This window comes from Homo sapiens, chromosome 10 (assembly GCF_000001405.40).
Source record: "Homo sapiens chromosome 10, GRCh38.p14 Primary Assembly".
Classification (NCBI taxonomy): Eukaryota; Metazoa; Chordata; class Mammalia; order Primates; family Hominidae; genus Homo; species Homo sapiens.
The window spans coordinates 92,130,441-92,151,104 of record NC_000010.11 but is presented as its reverse complement, the minus strand read 5'-3'; the positions used below and the strand labels follow the sequence as shown (position 1 = coordinate 92,151,104).

At 39.4% G+C, this 20,664-nt stretch overlaps 1 protein-coding gene and 1 pseudogene across 26 annotated transcripts in view; one reads left to right on the top strand and one right to left on the bottom strand.

Moving 5' to 3' along the window:
- The window catches only part of CPEB3 (cytoplasmic polyadenylation element binding protein 3), a 244,542-nt gene that overhangs the window by 140,129 nt on the left and 83,749 nt on the right, over window positions 1–20,664 (top strand). For 22 of the 26 annotated variants that reach the window (XM_047424810.1, XM_024447895.2, XM_011539517.3 and 19 more), the window contains 2 exons: window positions 5,993–6,160; window positions 7,987–8,076. The exons of 3 other annotated variants lie outside the window; for them this stretch is intronic. In XM_047424810.1, the coding sequence (XP_047280766.1) occupies window positions 5,993–6,160; window positions 7,987–8,076 (258 nt within the window). The remainder of the gene's footprint in view (window positions 1–5,992; window positions 6,161–7,986; window positions 8,077–20,664) is intronic. One more of the 26 variants, NM_014912.5, reaches the window with a different exon arrangement.
- Window positions 12,590–14,244, bottom strand: EIF4A1P8 (eukaryotic translation initiation factor 4A1 pseudogene 8; annotated as a pseudogene).

The window sequence follows — 20,664 nt, the reverse complement described above, 5'->3', positions numbered from 1 at the left end:
TTTGCAAGTCTTCTATTTGGCACTTTTCCTGCAAGCTTGTTTGGTTTTAAGCCATCTCCACATTCAGAGATGATTTGTCCAATTACTGGACCAAAAACTAATTATAGATAGTAATTGAAATAGATATCAGAGAACCAGACCATTGGTTGAAAGCCAAATGGCCAACTTGCAGCATTTGAGAAACCTTTCTCCTGCTTTTATTGAAATATTGAATATACATATTTTATGTGGCAGTATCATGGTGTTCTAAAGCAGGTTTATATCCTCCTCACATAGAAATATATTTTTTGATAAGTAATGTGGCTTGCTTAACACATTTTGGTCTTGGAAATATTTCCCTTAAAAAAAAGAAATATGTTAGAGAGATGCTAGTTAGTGAAGCAAGACTTCTCCTGGGGCACAATTTAGGTGCAGCCTCTTAAATTTTCAGTTTCTAGTAACACATGTCCAGGAAATAAAATTTTACTGACTTCTCAGGGATGATTTGTTTTGGAGATGGATTTATGCCAATCAAATGAATGCATGAATACCATCCTCACAAGGGATTACTGGACAAATCAGAATACCACTGTTTTCTCATGGAGCTGGTTGCATATGGAAATAAAATTTCAGTAGCTGACTGTCTACTAGCTCAAGAGTCACCCCTTCACAATTGCAGAGTCCTGAATTTATTAACGGAATAGTCCTTCAGGAGCTTATAATAAGAGCAGAGGGGCCAGAAGCAGTGGCTCATGCCTGTAATCCCAGCACTTTGGGAGGCTGAGGCAGGAAGATCACTAGAGCCCAGGAGTTCAAGACCAACCTGGGCAACCTAGTGAGACCCCATCTCTATATTAAAAAAAAAAAAAGAGAGAGAGAGAGCAGAGGGAAATAGATTATTTTCAAGCTCTGGAAATACCACGTGAACCATTCTGTCCCCTGGAGGAATAATCCTACGTAGTATGATAAAGTCCTCATATCGCCTGTCGGTCTGCGCTGGGTAAATACTACAAGCTCTTACTCTACCATTCTGTCTTTTAAATCCTTTCTGCAGACTTTTTGTTCTGCCAGCACTTCAGGCAGTCATGTTACAGTAAGGATGATTAGGTTATAGATTTTGCATTCCAGTGTTGAGAATATACTTTCCTTAACTTGATTGAACTTGGATATTTCCCAGGGCTGCATATACTTCACACAAAATATCTCTTTCAGTGGCTGCCTGTAGCAGACAAATAATCTTCACATCAGTGATTCTTAAACTTGAGCATAGGAATCACTGGGGAAATTTGTGCAAATACAGATTTTCAAGCCTGACCCCCACAGATTCAGATTAGTAGATCTGGGGGTTGGGTTCTCAGACCTATATTCTTAATTATTACCCACAGTTAGAGAAATATCATTTATGTGTTAGTTCTTAGCAGTTTCATTTCCAAGGCCAACTTTATTTTATTGCTAACGTCTATCGTACTCTAAATACTAATAATAAGACAGAGGTTTGGTTTTAAAACCTTGGGAAATTTCTTAATTACCCATAACCACTTAATAAAACTGTCCAAATTTTTACAACTCTTGATTTTGTTTTCTTTGCCAAAGTACTCTGAGCTGTGGTTATGTTGGCCATGCAGAAAATTCTTTTTGTGCCAGAATGTCTTCCACATCTGCTTCTTCACTCTTTCACTGCTCTCGTTCAAGACTTCCTCATGTCTCATCTGGACAGTCACAGATTTCTTCAGACTCTCACCTCATCCACCCTCTCCCTGAGTTCAAAATGTTGGAAGTAATAGAAGTTATGGTAGGATTTTGGTTAGAGGACAACATGGTCATAGGTATCTTAGAGAAGTCATTCTGACAGGACAGAAGATGGATTATGTGAGAATATCATGGTCTCTATGGAGTTAGTGTCGTTCAAAATAAGCCAGTATTAGAGCTGGGCACAGTGGCTCACACCTATAATCCCAACATGTTGGGAGGCCGAGACAGGCAGATCACTTGAGGTCAGGAGTTCAAGACCAGCCTGGCCAACACGGCGAAACCTTGTCTCTACTAAAAATAGAAAAATAAGCCAGGTGTGGTGGCACATGCCTATAATCCCAGCTACTGGGGAGGTTGAGGCAAGAGAATCCTTTGAACCTGGGAGGCAGAGGTTGCAGTGAGCCAAGATTGTGCCACTGCGCTTCAGCTTGGGTGACAGAGCGAGACTCTGTCTCAAAAAAAAAAAAAAAAGCCAGTATTAGAATAAATATTAAATTCAAAAAATGGGAAAATAATTTTCCATTTTGTAATATAGAACATTAATGCCTGACCAAATAAAAGCAATAGGAAAAGTCTCAATTTTCTAGGACATGGTTACATCTCTGCCATTCTCACACCTGTGTATTGTGTTTCATCATAGATTTGCAGCCACATGCCTTTTCACTTACTGTTTTCCTTCCCTGGATGCTGCCTCACATTTAACATTTTTGGTGTGCCTTTTATGTGACCTAATTAGGGCAGGAAGATACAGTGGTGAACAAGATTAAATTGGTCCCATCCTAATAGAGTTTACAATTTAATAGGGTTAGGGAAAGAGATACTCAATAAAAACGCACCCAAATGGTATAATGGTCCTTGGGGAAAGTGTTAGGAAGGAAGAATACAGGGGGCTGTGTGTGGATAGAAAAGGGAATCTAACCTAATCTAAAGGCTTAGGAAAGTTCAACCTGAGGAAGACTTTTCAGCTGAGACCTGAAGAATTAATAGGAATTAATTAGGAAATTGGAGAGTTGAAAAGGGTATGTTTGTTTTAGGTAGAGGGAACACATTGTCCTTATGGCTAGCAGCAAGGAGGAATAATCGAAAATACGAAGGAGGTCTGTGTGATTGGCAGTTAGTGAGCAAGAAGGAGAGGCAGCAACTGTGACGTAGAAGGGGTGTGCAGAGGCCTTGCAGTTCACAGTTATGTTTTTGTACTTTATCCAAAAAGTAATGGGAAATCATTGAGGGCTTTCAAGGATGGGGTGAGGAGTGTGCTTACATGTTCAAATTAATGTTTGAAAATGGTACCTTTGGCTGTTTTGTGGAGAAAGCATTGTGGGGTACGAGGTAGAAGTCAGTAGACTAAACAGACTATTTACTCTGCTTGAATTGGCAGGATTTAGTGAGAGATGGATTTGACGTGGAGTATAAGAGAAAGGGAGATGTCAAGGATGATTTCTAGGTTTCTGGATTGAATCCAGTGTGGATAATCAGCATTTTTATTGAGATTTTAGGGAATATTAGAGAAGGAGCAATTTTGGAGGGAAAGATCAAGAGCTGTTTTGACAGTACTTGCTCTGTGGCTTCTTGTTCCTTTACTTCAGAAACTCCCACTCTGACAAGATTCTGCTCAAAATTGCCCTCCTGTGAAAATACTCTAAAAATCTCTCCCCGCCAATCTCCAGGAGGGCAGTAAGTTGTGTTCTTGTGTCACTTGGTAAAGTCTTCTCTTAGCACATCTCTGTTTTATAATTATTTATGTACTTGCCTGTCTCCCCCACCAGACTGTGATTCCTTTGGCAAGGAAGTATCTTATTTGTTCGGTGTCACTGAAATATGGGTGAATATTTCCTCAAGTGTTTTCCACTGAGTTTTGTATGGTAAAGGGTTCCTTTAACATCTGGGTAATGCTGGAGTAAGTTAATGTTTTTTTTTTGAGACAGGGCCTCACTCTGTCACCCAGGCTGGTGTGCACTGATGTGGTCTCAGCTCACTGCAACCTCTACCTCCTGGACTCAAGCGATCCTCCCACCTCAGCTTCCCCAGTAGCTGGAACTACAGATGTGCATCACCATGCCCGGCTAATTTTTGTATTTTTTGTAGAGACAGAGTTTCACCATGTTTCCCAGGCTGGTCTTGAACTCCTGGACTCAAGTGATCCACCTGCCTCGGCCTCCCAAAGTGCTGGGACTATGGGCATGAGCCACCATGCCTGGCCAGTTAATGTTTCTTTACTGTAGAACTTTTCGTAGCCTTTTATTTTCTGAGGTGGAAAAGCATAACGTACGCATTATTTTCCCAGATTATTTCATTTCCCCTTCCCCAGCTCTCGTTTTCTGAGTATCTAATGTTACTAGTGTTGAAGGTAAGAGGTGGGTTTGGGAACACTCACTGGGAAATGCTGATTTGCGCATGTGCCTGACACTGAGTAGGCATGTAATTCACTGAGTGTGGGCTATGGAATAAAGCAAACCTGTCAGCTCTAGGAGAACGTCACTGGATGTCTTTGGAAAGCTCTTTTTGCCTATAGTTGCTGCAAATCTATTTCTTTCACCCCCAGTGATCAAAACAAACATCAAGGGATGAGAATTTACTGTCTATTGTTTGTTGCTGCCAGGCTAAAAAAGATGGGTGGCATGAGATGACAGATTTTGTTCTGTTTCTTTATAGCTAAGCTGGGGAAAACTGAACAAAAAATTATTTGGTCTTCTTATTTAACTCCTAGCATTAAAACAGTGTCTTTTTTACACTACCTGGGTTGTTCACAAAATAACCAGAGTTATATTAATAACTTTAACTTTTTTGTAAAAGAAATACATGTTCAGTATTTTTCTAAGGGCTATTTATATTCTGTTTTAGAGTTGGCTGTTGTGACACAAAAACCTAGGTTTCAGGGAAATAAAGATAGTATAGACTAAATGGGGAAGACACTGCTCTTTTTTTTTTTTAAGAGTATATTAATTTATTTTAGAGGGGAATTTTCCTTTTTTCCCCCAAAAGTTAGAGTACTCTAATGGTTCATTTTTAGAGTGGAACCTAGTGGAAAGTTTTGCTAGGAAGTCACTGACTCAAACAGGAAATATATTTGATTTTAAATTTAGATTTTATTTTGTAATGCCAAATGACATTATTGTGTTATATTTACTGCTGGTAAATTTACTGCTGACTCTAACTGCTGGTATCTTTCTTATAGTCATGTGGATTGGGTAGATACTTTTGCTCTACAAACTTTATTTGGCTATAGAATTAATGAAAATAATTCTTTTTTCATTTCTTTTCGTATATTTTTTGAGTGATATAAAATGTAGCCTAGATTAGTAGGGTTAAGGGTTTCATAACCACATCCACATTTATACTCCCACATCTTAAGTTATGTGTTTTCATTTACTTACCCTGTCCTTTATTATTGCGTATGTTTATTTCCAAATTAGAGTAGCTTGGAATGACAAGGAAAACTTGATGATCTTTAGTTCCACTATTAGAAAAGAAGTTATCAGCCTCTGTCACCAGTTTTGTATTCCCTTGGCTATCAGGACCACTCTTTAGAACTAAACCTCTGAGATTACCATAAAGAGCAGATAAAAATCTGTGGATAGAGATTACTTTGTCCATTTATTTTAAGAAATGACTAAAGAAAGAAAAAAACATAGCTGCTGAATATACTCCTAGTAGCTATGATAGAGACTGAATGAGTAAAATGCAGTGATTTTTTAGCAAGGAAACCACTGAAATTTTGATGCTTTTTTTTTTTTTTTTGAGACTGAGTTTTACTCTTGTTGCTCAGGCTGGAGTGCAATGGCACGATCTTGGCTCACTGCATCCTCCACCTCCCGGGTTCGGGTTCAAGCGATTCTCCTGCCTCAGCCTCCTGAGTAGCTGGGATTACATGCATGCACCACCATGTCCGGCTAATTTTTGTATTTTTAGTAGAGACGGGGTTTTGCCATGTTAGCCAGGCTGGCCTCGAACTCCTGACCTCAGGTGATGCGCCCACCTCAGCCTCCCAAAGTGCTGGGATTACAGGCATGAGCCTCCATGCCCACCTGGATGATTCTTTTTCTTTAGTTAGCAATCTGGTCATCCCAAGGCTGTGCCTACCCTTACACAAAAATGATGATAAAAAGTTATCTGGTAATATTCAGTCCTGTTAATCTTGGAAAAGCCACAGCTCAGGACACCTTTTTTTTTGTATGCTTCTCTCTGCACTTCGGGCTTCTAATAGAGCATTTATTGTCCTAGAAAATCATTTTAATTATAGAAACTCCCACATTTGTTTCAGGTCGATCTTCTCTCTTTCCCTTTGAAGATGCCTTCCTGGATGATAGCCATGGTGATCAAGCCTTGTCATCTGGCTTAAGTTCTCCCACTCGCTGTCAAAATGGGGAACGAGTAGAACGCTACTCTAGAAAGGTGTTTGTTGGAGGACTTCCTCCTGATATTGATGAAGGTACTATGCATTCATTAATGATTTTGCAAAGGCTGAGTTTGTTATTTGTGTGTTCTGACCCTGCCTCTCCTCTCCAAGTCAACTTTAGGACATCTATATCTTAGTGCATAGGAGGTGAGACTATTTGGTGGATTAGAAAGTGGTAGTCTATTATTGTACTAAGTACTTCATGTTACATTATCTCATTTAATCCTCATAGCTATCTAATAAGGATATCCTAGCATCTCCATTTTATAGATAAGGAAACTGAGGATCAGAGAGAAATAATTTGTTCAGGGTTATATAGCTGATGGTGCAGTTGCAACTCAAATTCAATTAGATTCCAGAGCTTCTGCTCATGTGCATCACACCAAACCATCTCACATTTTAATATAAATACTGGCCAGTGCAGTGGTTCACACCCGTAATCCCAGTACTTTGGGAGGCCAAGATGGGAGGATTACTTGAGCCCAGGGGTTCAAGACCAGCCTGGGCAACATAGCAAGACCCTGTCTCTACAAAACAAGATTAGCCGGGTATGGTGGTATGTGCCTGTACTCCCAGCTACTTGGGAGGCTGAGGTGGGAGATCACTTGAGCCCAGGAGTTTGAGGTTACAGTGAGCTATGATCATACCACTGAACTCCAGCCTGGATGACAGAGTGAGACCCTGTCTCATAAGTAAATAAATAAATAAAAACAAATACCTATTAACAAAAAGCATAATCCACCTCTTTAAAAGAATGAAGATGAATTAGAATTTTTCTTAATAATAGTTTTGAGATGCTATCAGTCCAAAAGTGAGTGTTCACTTATGCCTAAAGCCAGTTTATTTTAGCACACGGTAAGTTGTCAATAAATATTTGTTGAAAGGATGAATGAAATAAAATTGTGACAAAGTTAACTTAAGCAAAAAACAACTCTAGTTCCAGTAGGCTTTGGGTCTGATATAAAAATACTGTCTGATATTCTAACAGTCTTGTTTTTCTAGCATTTTTCTAGCTATGACACACTTCAAATTTATCATGATTTCCTTTTTTCATGGTGACAGGAGAAAAGTCTCAAAAAGTGGTTTTATTTTAGACTAACTACATTAAAGTTATACATAGCTGAATGCTTATTTTCCTCCAAATTGTTCTTGTATTCATGTTAATCTCATCTATTGATTAGATTATCTTCAAGACAATTTTTAAGATCATGGCTGAGAGAGTGGTACCCTAAACCTGAGTAGGAGCCAGGTTATAACCTCTGCTTTGAGTCATATGTCAGAGGGAAAATATAAATGTATTGATCTATAATTTTTGATATATTTTCTATATAGGGTACGTAATATGTAGTTATTAAAGAGAACATTGGCCATCAACATTTTCTTATCACCCAATAGAATTACCTACTTATTGCCCCTACTCCTTACCAAAAGAATCGTATCTATTTCTTAAATAATCTTAGAGGTTCCTACAAGTGAAACCATATTTTAAATATTTTCTGTACCTTACTTTCTTACTAAAATCAGAGAACATTCCTATTTTTAGAATCTTTCTATTTGACATAGAAGTCACCTTAGTTTAATATGAGATACTTTTCTTCCAAATTCTTTATGTCAAGTTTATTGGCAGTGAAAGGAAATGAATTATAGTTAGAAACACACTTTGCATGATTAAAAGTGAATAACCAAATGTACACCCAAGCAATGGTATTTCACTTAGTAGGTTTCACTTCCGTAAAGATGCTATAGAAAACAACCCTCAAAACATTTTTTTAAACTAAAAAGACATGTTTTGTGCTCTTCTGGTTTTCTGATTGCAATATTTTTTTCTCTTTTGCTAAGATTCTTTCTTTGTTTTGTAGATGAGATCACTGCCAGCTTTCGCAGGTTTGGACCTCTCGTAGTAGACTGGCCTCACAAAGCTGAAAGCAAGTCTTATTTTCCTCCTAAAGGTAATGCTCTTAAAATGTTTCCACTGCTTGCCTGTTGGAGAGATAGCATGACAGTTCAATAAAAGGCAGCCTTTTAACTCTTGAAATAGCTGTTGAATTTTTTCCCCCAATTAGGAAAACATTTTAATGTTGATCATCCTTTTGTGTATTATGTTTCCACTTAGAGACTCTTCCCCTGAAGCACACTGATTGTTTCATGGCACCGATTTTATTGACAGTGAGACCCTGGAAGTCTGTTGTGGATGAGCCTCCTGCTAATTTTCATTATTTTGAAAGGAAAGATCTAGGGTTTTGAGGAATGTCAGCAATGGTAAAGGAAAAGATTATTTAGGGTCAGATTTTATTTGTATTCCATAGCCCTGTGGTTTTATAGATCTTGTAAACCCCAAACCTGGGAAACCTAGTGGCTAAAGAATGGCATTGTACAAAATTATCTTTATCCACATCTGTATATTAAGTGACTTAGCCTGTTTGGGAGCAGAGGGCAAACTAGCAAAAGACACTCCATATGACCTTGCTTCCCTGATTTTTGGGGAGGCTCATTTGATAATTTATGAGTGCATGAAAATATATTGCTTTGTTCATAGTTTGTCATTTCTGCAGAATCTAGGGAACTTTACTGGTGATATTCATTTGGGTGTGTTCCTAGATTTATATAGAAGAATGTTTTGGGTTAAAGGTTTTGTTTGTGTTACATTCTGTAGATATGCTTCAAGGATACATTTCATTTCAGAAAAATGGCTTTTTGATACGTATTATTGTGTAATATTACTCAGCACAAAAAGATGAAGTGAAAATACTTGTCCTTCCTGTGCCTCATAAATGAATCAAATTATAGCTTAACCTGAGGAAGGCAAGTGGCTTCCTTTTATGTCCGGTTTGTTAGGTTTCATTGTCAGTTGTACTTCTCCAATTCTCACTCTCTTCATAACCCACAAAAATAAGTTAATATAGAGGGCTGTTGCTTGTTCTTTGTTTTTTTTTTTTTTGTTTTTATTTGTTTTTTTTTTTGAGACGGAGTCTCACTCTGTCGCCCAGGCTGGAGTGCAGTGGCGTGATCTCGGCTCACTGCAAGCTCCGCCTCCTGGATTCACGCCATTCTCCTGCCTCAGCCTCCCGAGTAGCTGGGACTACAGGCTCCTGCCGCCACGCCCGGCTCATTTTTTGTATTTTTAGTAGAGACAGGGTTTCACCGTGTTAGCCAGGATGGTCTCGCTCTCCTGACCTCGTGATCCGCCTGCCTTGGCCTCCCAAAGTGCTGGGATTACAGGCGTGAGCCACCATGCCCGGCCTTTTTTTTTTTGGTATGTTTTCTTATCAATTATTTATTATAACCATATGAATAATTCCAGTTATTATTTTTATTTCAATAACTATTATTATTATTTTTTATTATTATTATACTTTAAGTTTTAGGGTACATGTGCACAATGTGCAGGTTAGTTACATATGTATACATGTGCCATGCTGGTGTGCTGCACCCATTAACTCATCATTTAGCAATAGGTATATCTCCTAATGCTATCCCTCCCCCATCCCCCCACCCCACAACAGTCCCCAGAGTGTGATGTTCCCCTTCCTGTGTCCATGTGTTCTCATTGTTCAATTCCCACCTATGAGTGAGAACATGCAGTGTTTGGTTTTTTGTCCTTGTGATAGTTTGCTGAGAATGATGATTTCCAATTTCATCCATGTCCCTACAAAGGACATGAACTCATCCTTTTTTATGGCTGCATAGTATTCCATGGTGTATATGTGCCACATTTTCTTAATCCAGTCTATCATTGTCGGACATTTGGGTTGGTTCCAAGTCTTTGCTATTGTGAATAGTGCCGCAATAAACATACGTGTGCATGTGTCTTTATAGCAGCATGATTTATAGTCCTTTGGGTATATACCCAGTAATGGGATGGCTGGGTCAAATGGTATTTCTAGTTCTAGATCCCTGAGGAATCGCCACACTGACTTCCACAATGGTTGAACTAGTTTACAGTCCCACCAACAGTGTAAAAGTGTTCCTATTTCTCCACATCCTCTCCAGCACCTGTTGTTTCCTGACTTTTTAATGATTGCCATTCTAACTGGTGTGAGATGGTATCTCATTGTGGTTTTGATTTGCATTTCTCTGATGGCCAGTGATGGTGAGCATTTTTTCATGTGTTTTTTGGCTGCATAAATGTCTTCTTTTGAGAAGTGTCTGTTCATGTCCTTCGCCCACTTTTTGATGGGGTTGTTTGTTTTTTTCTTGTAAATTTGTTTGAGTTCATTGTAGATTCTGGATATTAGCCCTTTGTCAGATGAGTAGGTTGCAAAAATTTTCTCCCATTTTGTAGGTTGCCTGTTCACTCTGATGGTAGTTTCTTTTGCTGTGCAGAAGCTCTTTAGTTTAATTAGATCCCATTTGTCAATTTTGGCTTTTGTTGCCATTGCTTTTGCTGTTTTAGACATGAAGTCCTTGCCCATGCCTATGTCCTGAATGGTAATGCCTAGGTTTTCTTCTAGGGTTTTTATGGTTTTAGGTCTGATGTTTAAGTCTTTAATCCATCTTGAATTAATTTTTGTATAAGGTGTAAGGAAGGGATCCAGTTTCAGCTTTCTACATATGGCTAGCCAGTTTTCCCAGCACCATTTATTAAATAGGGAATCCTTTCCCCCTTGCTTGTTTTTGTCAGGTTTGTAAGATCAGATAGTTGTAGATATGCGGCATTATTTCTGAGGCCTCTGTTCTGTTCCATTGATCTATATCTCTGTTTTGGTCCCAGTACCATGCTGTTTTGGTTACTGTAGCCTTGTAGTATAGTTTGAAGTCAGGTAGTGTGATGCCTCCAGCTTTGTTCTTTTGGCTTTGGATTGACTTGGCGATGTGGGCTCTTTTTTGGTTCCATATGAACTTTAAAGTAGTTTTTTCCAATTCTGTGAAGAAAGTCATTGGTAGCTTGATTTTTTTTTTTTTTTTTGAGACAGAGTCTCACTCTGTTGCCCAGGCTGGAGTGCAATGGTGTGATCTCGGCTTCTGCAACCTCCACCTCCCGGGTTCAAGCAATTCTCCTGCCTCAGCCTCCTGAGTAGCTGGGACTACAGGCTTGTGCCACCATACCCGGCTAATTTTTGTAATTTTAGTAGAGACAGGTTTTCACCATATTGGCCAGGCTGGTCTTGAACTCCTGACCTCATGATCCTCCTGCCTTGGCCTCCCAAAGTGCTGGGATTACAGGTGTGAGCCACCATGCCCAGCTGAGATATTTTGATATAGGCATACAGTATGTAATAATCACATCAGGGTAAATGGGGTATTCATCACCTCAAGCATTTATCATTTCTTTGTGTTATAAACATTCCAATTATACTTTAGTTATTTAAAAATATACAGTAGATTATTGTTGATTGTAGTCACCCTGTTGTACTATCAAAGACAAGATCTTATTCATTCCATCTAATTATGTTTTTGTACCTATTAACCATGCCCACTTTTACCCACCCACCCCCACCTTCTTTCCAGCCTCTGGTAACTTACATCATTCTATTTTCTGTCATCATGAGTTCAATTGTTTGGATTTTTAGTTCTCACAAATGCATGAGACAATGGGAAGTTTGTCTTTCTGTGCCTGGCTTATTTTTCTTATCATAATGTCCTCCAGTTCCATCCATGTTGTTGCAGATGACAGGACTCTTTTTTTTCGTGGCTGAATACTACTCCACTGTGTATATGTACCACATATTCTTTTTTTTTTTTTTTTTTATGTGTGTGTGTGAGATGGAGTTTCACTCTTGTTGTCTAAGCTGGAGTGCAATGGCACAATCTTGGCTCACTTCAACCTCCACCTCTGGGATTCAAGAGATTCTCCTGCCTCAGCCTCCCGAGTAGCTGGGATTACAGGCCTGTGCCATCATGCCTGGCTAATTTTGCATTTTTAGTAGAGATGGGGTTTCTTCATGTTGGTCAGGCTGGTCTCGAACTCCCAACCTCAGGTGATCCACCTGCCTCGGCCTCCCAGAGTGCTGGAATTACAGGCGTGAGCCACCGTGCCTGGTCACATACCACATATTCTTTATCCATTCGTCTGTTGATGAATGGATAAAGGTTGTTTCCAAATCCTGGCTATTGTGAATAGTGCTGCAACAAACATGGGAGTACAGGTATCTCTTTGATATACTGATTTCCTTTCTTTTGGTTATATATACCTAGCAGTATGATTGATGGATCATATGGTAGCTCTATTTTTAGTTTTTTGAGGAACCTCCATGCTGTTCTCCATAGTGGCTATACTAATTTATATTCTCACCAACAGCGTACAAGTGTTCCCTTTTCTCCACATCCTCACCAGCATTTCTTATAGCCTGTCTTTTGGATAAAAACCATTTTAACTGTGGTGAGATGATATCACATTGTAGTTTTGATTTGCCTTTCGCTGACAATCAGTAATATTGAGCACCTTTTCATATATCTGTTTGCCATTTGTATATTGTCTTTTGAGAAATGCCTATTCAGATCTTTCACCCTCCCTTTTTTTTTTTTTTTTGCCTCAAAAAGTGACGTTTATTCAAGGAAAAAAATTACAAGATGTCCATCCCTTGGCTCTCTTTCCTTCCGCCTCCTGCTGCTCCTCAGTTTCCCAAGAATGAATCCTGGCTGGGGCTAGGTAGCAGGATAGCCCCTCAGATGAGGTCAGCAACATTGAGGGCCATCACCTCAATGGAGGTGTTGTATAAGGTCTCAGTTTCTTAAAGAGTCCTCTTGTCTTCTTCTGTTACCATGTTAATAGCCACACCCTTATGGCCAAACCATCCACCTCGACCAATTCTGTGGATACAGGTGGGAAGGTCACAGTTGATAACTGAAGAAACCTGCTGCACATGAATGCCTCTGGCTGCGGGTCAGTGGTAATCAATACTCTGTGAGAGCCAGAACAAAACTCCCTCATGATCACATTTCATTCTTTTGTTCCATATCTCCATGCATGGCAGAGACAGTGAAGTCCCAAGCATGCATCTTCTCAGTGAGCCAATCCACTTTCTTCTTTTTTTTTTTGAGACAGAGTCTTGCTCTGTCACCCAGGCTGGAGTGCAGTTGTGCGATCTCGGCTCACTGCAAGCTCCTCCTCCCGGGTTCATGCCATTCTCCTGCCTCAGCCTCCCAGTAGCTGGGACTACAGGCACTTGCCACCATGCCCGGCTAATTTCTTTTTGTATTTTTAGTAGAGATGGGGTTTCACCATGTAAGCCAGGATGGTCTGGCTCTCCTGACCTTGTGATCCGCCCACCTTGGCCTCCCAAAGTGCTGGGATTACAGGCGTGAGCCACTGCACCCAGCCGAGCCAATCCACCTTCTTTCCAGTATTGATGAAGATGACTGCCTAGGGTGACAATCAGGGTTTCATACAAGCCACACAGTGTGCTCAGTTTCCACTCCTCATGTTCCACATTGATGTAGAATTGGTGGACCCCCTCCAGGGTCAACTCTTCCTTCTTGACAGGAATCCAAATGGGGTCCCTTATGAACTTCTTGGTCACCTCAAGCACATCAGAAGGCCTTGTGGCTGATAGCAAAACCACCTGGGTGTTGCTGTTGAGCTTTTGGAATATGTCATAGATTGAGTCCTTGAATCCATGGCTTAACATTTCATCAGCTTCGTCCAGTACAAACATCTTGATGTATTTGGGAGACAGGTATCTCTGGTTAAGCATATCAGATATATGGCCAGGGGTACCCACGATGATATGGGGAACTTCCATCTGTAGTTTCTGCACCTCAGCATGCACGTTGGTGCCCCCAATACAGCCATGACAGGAGGCACCCATGTAGTCTCCTAGTGTCATGACCACCTTTTCTATCTTTTGAGCCAATTATCAAGTGGATGCTGGGACCAAGGTGTGGGTAGCCTTTAGATCTAATTCAATCTACTGCAGAATTGATATGGCAAAAGTGGCCATTTTCCCAGTCCCAGATAGGGCTTGAGTGATCACATCATAATCCTTGATACAAGAAGAATGGCTCGCTGCTGGATGGCAGAGGACTTCTCAAAACCATAGGCATAGATGCCATGGAGGAGGGATTCCAAGAGGTTCATATCATCAAAACTGTCAACAATCTCATTTCAGTTTCTCTCAATGATGCCTTCAGGCTCCATCTCATCGGGACCATTGTCTCTGGATCAGAAATACTCACTCTTGGCCGGGCGCGGTGGCTCACGCTTATAATCCCAGCACTTTGAGAGGCTGAGGCGGGCAGATCACGAGGTCAGGAGTTCGAGACCAGCCTGGCCAACATGGTGAAACCCCATCTCTACTAAAAATACAAAAATTAGCTGGGCGTGGTAGCCCATGCCTGTAATCCCAGCTACTCAGGAGGCTGAGGCAGGAGAATCACTTGAATCTGGGGGGCAGAGTTTACAGTGAGCCGAGATCATGCCACTGCACTCCAGCCTGGGTGACAGAGCAAGACTCCGCCTTAGAAAAAAAAAGAAGAAATACTCACTCTCAGACATGATCCTTAGAAACTCTCTTTTGCCCGTTTTTAAATCAGATTATTAGTTTTTTTTCCTATTGAGTTGTTTGAGCTCTTTATATATTGTTATTAATCCCTTGTTAGATTGACAGTTTGTAACTATTTTCTCCCATTCTGTGGGTTGTCTCTTCACTTTGTTGACTGTTTCCTTTGCTGTGCAGAAGCTTTTTAACTTGATGTGATCCCATTTGTCCATTTTGCTTTGGTTGCCTTTGCTTGTGGGGTATTACTCAAGAAATCTTTGTGCCCAGACCAATGTCTTGGAGATTTTCCCCAGTGTTTTTGTTTGTTTGTTTGTTTGTCTTAGTATTTCTTTTAGTAGTTTCATAGTTTGAGGTCTTAATTTGAAGTTTTTTTTTTATTATTATACTTTAAGTTCTAGGGTACATGTGCATAATGTGAAGGTTTGTTACATAGGTATACATGTGCCATGTTGGTTTGCTGCACCCATTAACTCATCATTTACAATAGGTATTTCTCCTAATGCTATCCCTCCCCCTGCCCCCCACCCCATGACAGGCCCCTGGATGTGATGTTCCCTGCCCTGTGTCCAAGTGTTCTCATTGTTCAATTCCCACCTATGAGTGAGAACATGCAGTGTTTGGTTTTCTATCCTCGTGATAGTTTGCTCAGAATGATGGTTTCCAGCTGCATCCATGTCCCTACAAAGGACATGAACTCATCCTTTTTTATGGCTACATAGTATTCCATGGTGTATATGTGCCACATTTTCTTAATCCAGTCTATCATTGATGGACATTTTGGTTGGCTCCAAGTCTTTGCTATTGTGAATAGTGCCACAATAAACATACGTATGCATGTGTCTTTATAGTAGCATGATTTATAATCCTTTGGGCATTTATCTAGTAATGGGATCACTGGGTCAAATGGTATTTCTAGTTCTAGATCCTTGAGGAATTGCCACACTGTCTTCCACAATGGTTGAACTAGTTTACACTCCCACTAACAGTATAAAAGCATTCCTATTTCTCCACATCCTCTCCAGCATCTGTTGTTTCCTGACATTTTAATGATTGCCATTCTAACTGGCGTGAGATGGTATCTCATTGTGGTTTTGATTTGCATTTCTCTGATGACCAGCGATGATGAGCATTTTTTCATGTGTCTGTTGGCTGCATAAATGTCTTCTTTTGAGAAGTGCGTATTCATATCCTTTGCCCACTTTTTATTGGGGTTGTTTTTCTCTTGTAAATTTGTTTAAGTTCTTTGTAGATTCTGGATATGAGCCCTTTGTCAGATGGACAGATTGCAAAAATTTTCTCCTATTCTGTAGGTTACCTGCTCACTCTGATGGTAGTTTCTTTTGCTGTGCAGAAGCTCTTTAGTTTAATTAGATCTGATTTGTCTATTTTGGCTTTTGTTGCCATTGCTTTTGGTGTTTTAGTCATGACGTCCTTGCCCATGCCTATGTCCTGAATGGTATTTCCTAGGTTTTCTCCTAGGGTTTTTATGGTTTTAGGTCTAACATTTAAGTCTTTAATCCATCTTGAATTAATTTTTGTATAAGTTGTAAGGAAGGGATCCAGTTTCAGCTTTCTACATATGGCTAGCCAGTTTTCCCAGCACCATTTATTAAATAGGGAATCCTTTCCCCATTTTTTGTTTTTGTCAGGTTTGTCAAAGATCAGATGGTTGTAGATGTGTGGTGTTGTTTCTGAGGCCTCTGTTCTATTCCATTGGTCTATATATCTGTTTTGGTCCCAGTACCATGCTGTTTTGGTTACTGTAGCCTTGTAGTATAGTTTGAAGTCAGGTAGCATGATGCCTCCAGCTTTGTTCTTGTTGCCTAGAATTGTCTTGGCAATGCGGGCTCTTTTTTGTTTCCATATGAACTTTAAAGTAGTTTTTTCCAATTCTGTGAAGAAAGTCATTGGTAGCTTGATGGGGATGGCACTGAATCTATAAATTACCTTGGGCAGTATGGCCATTTTCACAATATTGATTCTTCCTATCCATGAGTATGGAATGTTCTTCCATTTGTTTGTATCCTCTTTTATTTCATTGAGCAGTGGTTTGTAGTTCTCCTTGAAGAGGTCCTTCACATCCCTTGTAAGTTGGATTCCTAGGTATTTTATTCTCTTTGAAGCAGTTGTGAATGGGAGTTCACTCATGATTTGGCTGTTTGTCTGATATTGGTATATAGGAACGCTTGTGATTTTTGCATATTGATTTTGTATCCTGAGACTTTGCTGAAGTTGCTTATCAGCTTAAGGAGATTTTGGGCTGAGATGATGGGGTTTTCTAAATATACAATGATGTCATCTGCAAACAGGGACAATTTGACTTCCTCTTTTCCTAATTGAATACCCTTTATTTCTTTCTCTTGCCTGATTGCCCTGGCCAGAACTTCTAACACTATGTTGAATAGGAGTGGTGAGAGAGGGCATTCTTGTCTTGTGCCAGTTTTCAAAGGGAATGCTTCCAGTTTTTCCCATTCAGTATGATATTGGCTGTGGGTTTGTCGTAAATAGCTCTTATTATTTTGAGATATGTTCCATCAATACCTAATTTATTGAGAGTTTTTAGCATGAAGGGCTGCTGAATTTTGTCAAAGGCCTTTCCTGCATCTATTGAGATAATCGTGGTTTTTTTGTTGTTGTTGGTTCTGTTTATGTGATGGATTATGTTTATTGATTTGCAATGTTGAACCAGCTTTGCATCCCAGGGATGAAGCCAACTTGATCATGGTGGATAAGCTTTTTCATGTGCTGCTGGATTCAGTTTGCCAGTATTTTATTGAGGATTTTCGCATCCATATTCGTCAGGGATATTGGTCTAAAATTCTCTTTTTTTGTTGTGTCTCTGCCAGGCTTTGGTATCAGGATGATGCTGTCCTCATAAAATGAGTTAGGGAGGATTCCCTCTTTTTCTATTGATTGGAATCGTTTTAGAAGGAATGGTACCAGCTCTTCTTTGTACCTCTGGTAGAATTTGGCTGTGAATCCATCTGGTCCTGGACTTTTTTTGGTAGGCTATTAATTATTGCCTCAATTTCAGAGCCTGTTATTGGTGTATTCAGAGATTCAGCTTCTTCCTGGTTTAGTCTTGGGAGGGTGTATGTGTCCAGGAATTTACCCATTTCTTCTACATTTTCTAGTTTATTTGTGTAGAGGTGTTTATAGTATTCTTTGATGGTAGTTTGTATTTCTGTGGGATCGGTGGTGATATCCCCTTTATCATTTTTTATTGCGTCTATTTGATTCTTCTCTCTTTTCTTCTTTATTAGTCTTGCTAGCAGTCTATCAATTTTGTTGATCTTTTCAGAAAACCAGCTCCTGGATTCATTGATTTTTTTGAAGGGTTTTTTGTGTCTCTATCTCCTTTAGTTCTGCTCTGATCTTAGTTATTTCTTGCCTTCTGCTAGCTTTTGAATTTGTTTGCTCTTGCTTCTCTAGTTCTTTTAATTGTGATGTTAGGGTGTTGATTTTAGATCTTTCCTGCTTTCTCTTGGGGGCATTTAGTGCTACAAATTTCCCTCTACAGACTGCTTTAAATGTGTCCCAGAGATTCTGGTACATTGTGTCTTTGTTCTCATTGGTTTCAAAGAACGTCTTTATTTCTGCCTTCATTTCGTTATTTACCCAATAGTCATTCAGGAGCAGGTTGTTCAGTTTTCATGTAGTTGTGTGGTTTTGAGTGAGTTTCTTAATCCTGAGTTCTAATTTGATTGCACTGTGGTCTGAGAGACAGTTTATTGTGATTTCTGTTCTTTCACATTTGCTGAGGAGTGCTTTACTTCCAACTATGTTGTCAATTTTGGAATGAGTGTGATGTGGCGCTGACAAGAACGTATGTTCTGTTGATTTGGGGTGGAGAGTTCTGTAGACGTCTATTAGTTCTGCTTGGTGCAGAGCCGAGTTTAAGTCCTGGATATCCTTGTTAACCTTCTTAACCTTCCCCCATTTGTCATTTACTTTTTGACCCTCTTTAATGTTTTTTTGTAGTACTAACATAAATTTTTATATAGGTAAATTTATTAATGTCTTCTTTGTGTTTTCTGAATATTTATGACATGCCTTAAAAGATTTTTCCCGCTGCAAGACAATAAGAAAATACTACACATGTTGTTTTCTTTTTGTTGTTGTTGCTTGTATTACTTTACTTTTGACATTGACATCTTGTTTTGGTCTGGAATTTATATTGGAGTAAGGCATGAGAAAGGATCCAGCTTTATTTTTTCAGGTAGCTTGACAGATCCCCCAGTTTTGTTTATAGGCTGGCTAGTCCAATTTTTTCCTCATCGATTTGCGTTCTTAGAATTGAATATTGATTGGGAGGTCATCTCTTCTGTTTCTCAAGAAATGCACAGTTTATCTAGAACTACTTGCTGCAGTATGTAGCTAATGAGCACTTGAAATGTGACTAGTTTGACTTGAGATATGGTTTTACGTGTAAATATACACTGCATTTTAAAGGCTTAGTTTTGTTTTAAATGTAGAGAATCTCATTAATAATTTTGTTTGCATGTTAAAATAACTTTATGGAGATATTGGATTAAATAAGATATTAAAATTAACTTCACTTGTTTCTTTTTACCTTTTAAAATACAGATACTGGAAAAATTTTAATTACATATGTGAGTCATATTACATTTCTGTTAGACAGTGCTTCTCTAGAACAAGGGTCAACAAACTACCTGTTTTTGTATGACCTGTGAGCTTAAGGATTTTTTTTACATCTTTAAGGAATTATATGTGGCACACACATCTCTTTACAGAAAACGTATGTTGACTCCTGCTCCAAAATGGCCCACAGAATTGCTCATTTTGCTTTGAGACATCCGGTGACAAGGGAGGCAGTTTATTTCAGAAGTCTTTATATTTGTAGCCCTAGTTAGTTATTACATGTTTCCCTCTATTGTGTCAAATGCTTCCCTGCAATCTTTACTCCTTAGTCAACGATGTCTTATAAAGTAAGACAGAATAAGTCATCATTGTGACATCTAACTCTAGGTACTTAAAGGACTATCAGTTTCTCTTTCCAAGCTAAATATTTTTATTTTCTCACTTATATGTTATGTCTAATAGTTGCTGGATCAGCATTCTTCTTTTCTGCCTTCTTCGTGTATATGCCATATTTTACAACATCCTACTTAAATTGTTAACTGAGAATTGAAGAGAATGTTAGGGTTGGTCAGAGCAGTACGGAGTTTAGCACCTCTACAGCCTCCATAGATAGCTCTTGGTACACTCCAAAATAACAGCATTAAATATAGAACTATAGTACATTAGTGCTGGTGCCCTCATTTTATAGCTGAGGTTAGGTGTTGAGATGGACCAGTGAGAGCTATGCCAAGAAGAGAATCTAATCTCCTGATTCTGGTCCTCAGGCTTGCATCCTCAGAGAGCAGATTGCCTTCTTGGTGATTGGGGTCAGGGAAGAGAAATAATTATTAGACTATTGGCTCCTGTTGTGTTTTGCTCTCAGCTAAAGTCTGAAGGTTGATGACCTATTTGGGCAGAGCCTAAAGATATTTGATGTTATTCCAATGTTAAGAATATCTACATTGTTCACCTCAAACTGTTCAATGCCTTCTTAATAATACCCCCTCTTGCTGATAATAATTTTTCTTAGGTCACCTCACATTGGCCATTAGGTAAAGTTTGTTTAGCTGTATTAGGCTTGTGTGTAACTAGAAAGGAAAACATGAACCATCCACTATTCAGCCCTTTAGCCTTTCTCAGATAGTGTATACATAGTGAAATAGAATCATCTGTTCATGCAGCAAGTTTACCTTGGTGCAGATTTGAAGTAGGGTTTGTAAAAGCATGACCATTTTCAGTGGATTGTTAAGAGCTTAAAATCCACATAGATAGACCTCAGTTGGTGGCAAAAAAAAAAAAAAAAGCCACATAGGGAAAGAATGGCCAGGTGGCCAGATACATGGACTGTCTCGTTGCATGTTTTTGAGCTAGCAGAGTGGGAGGCCATGCAGACTTCAGCTCTTTCAGCACAAGGGCCATTAAGACATTTAATGACCCATTGAGGATATACAGAGCCTTATGGATCAGTTTGTCTGTGGACCACAAGTAAGGAAATGGTTGCCCTTAGAACACCACTGA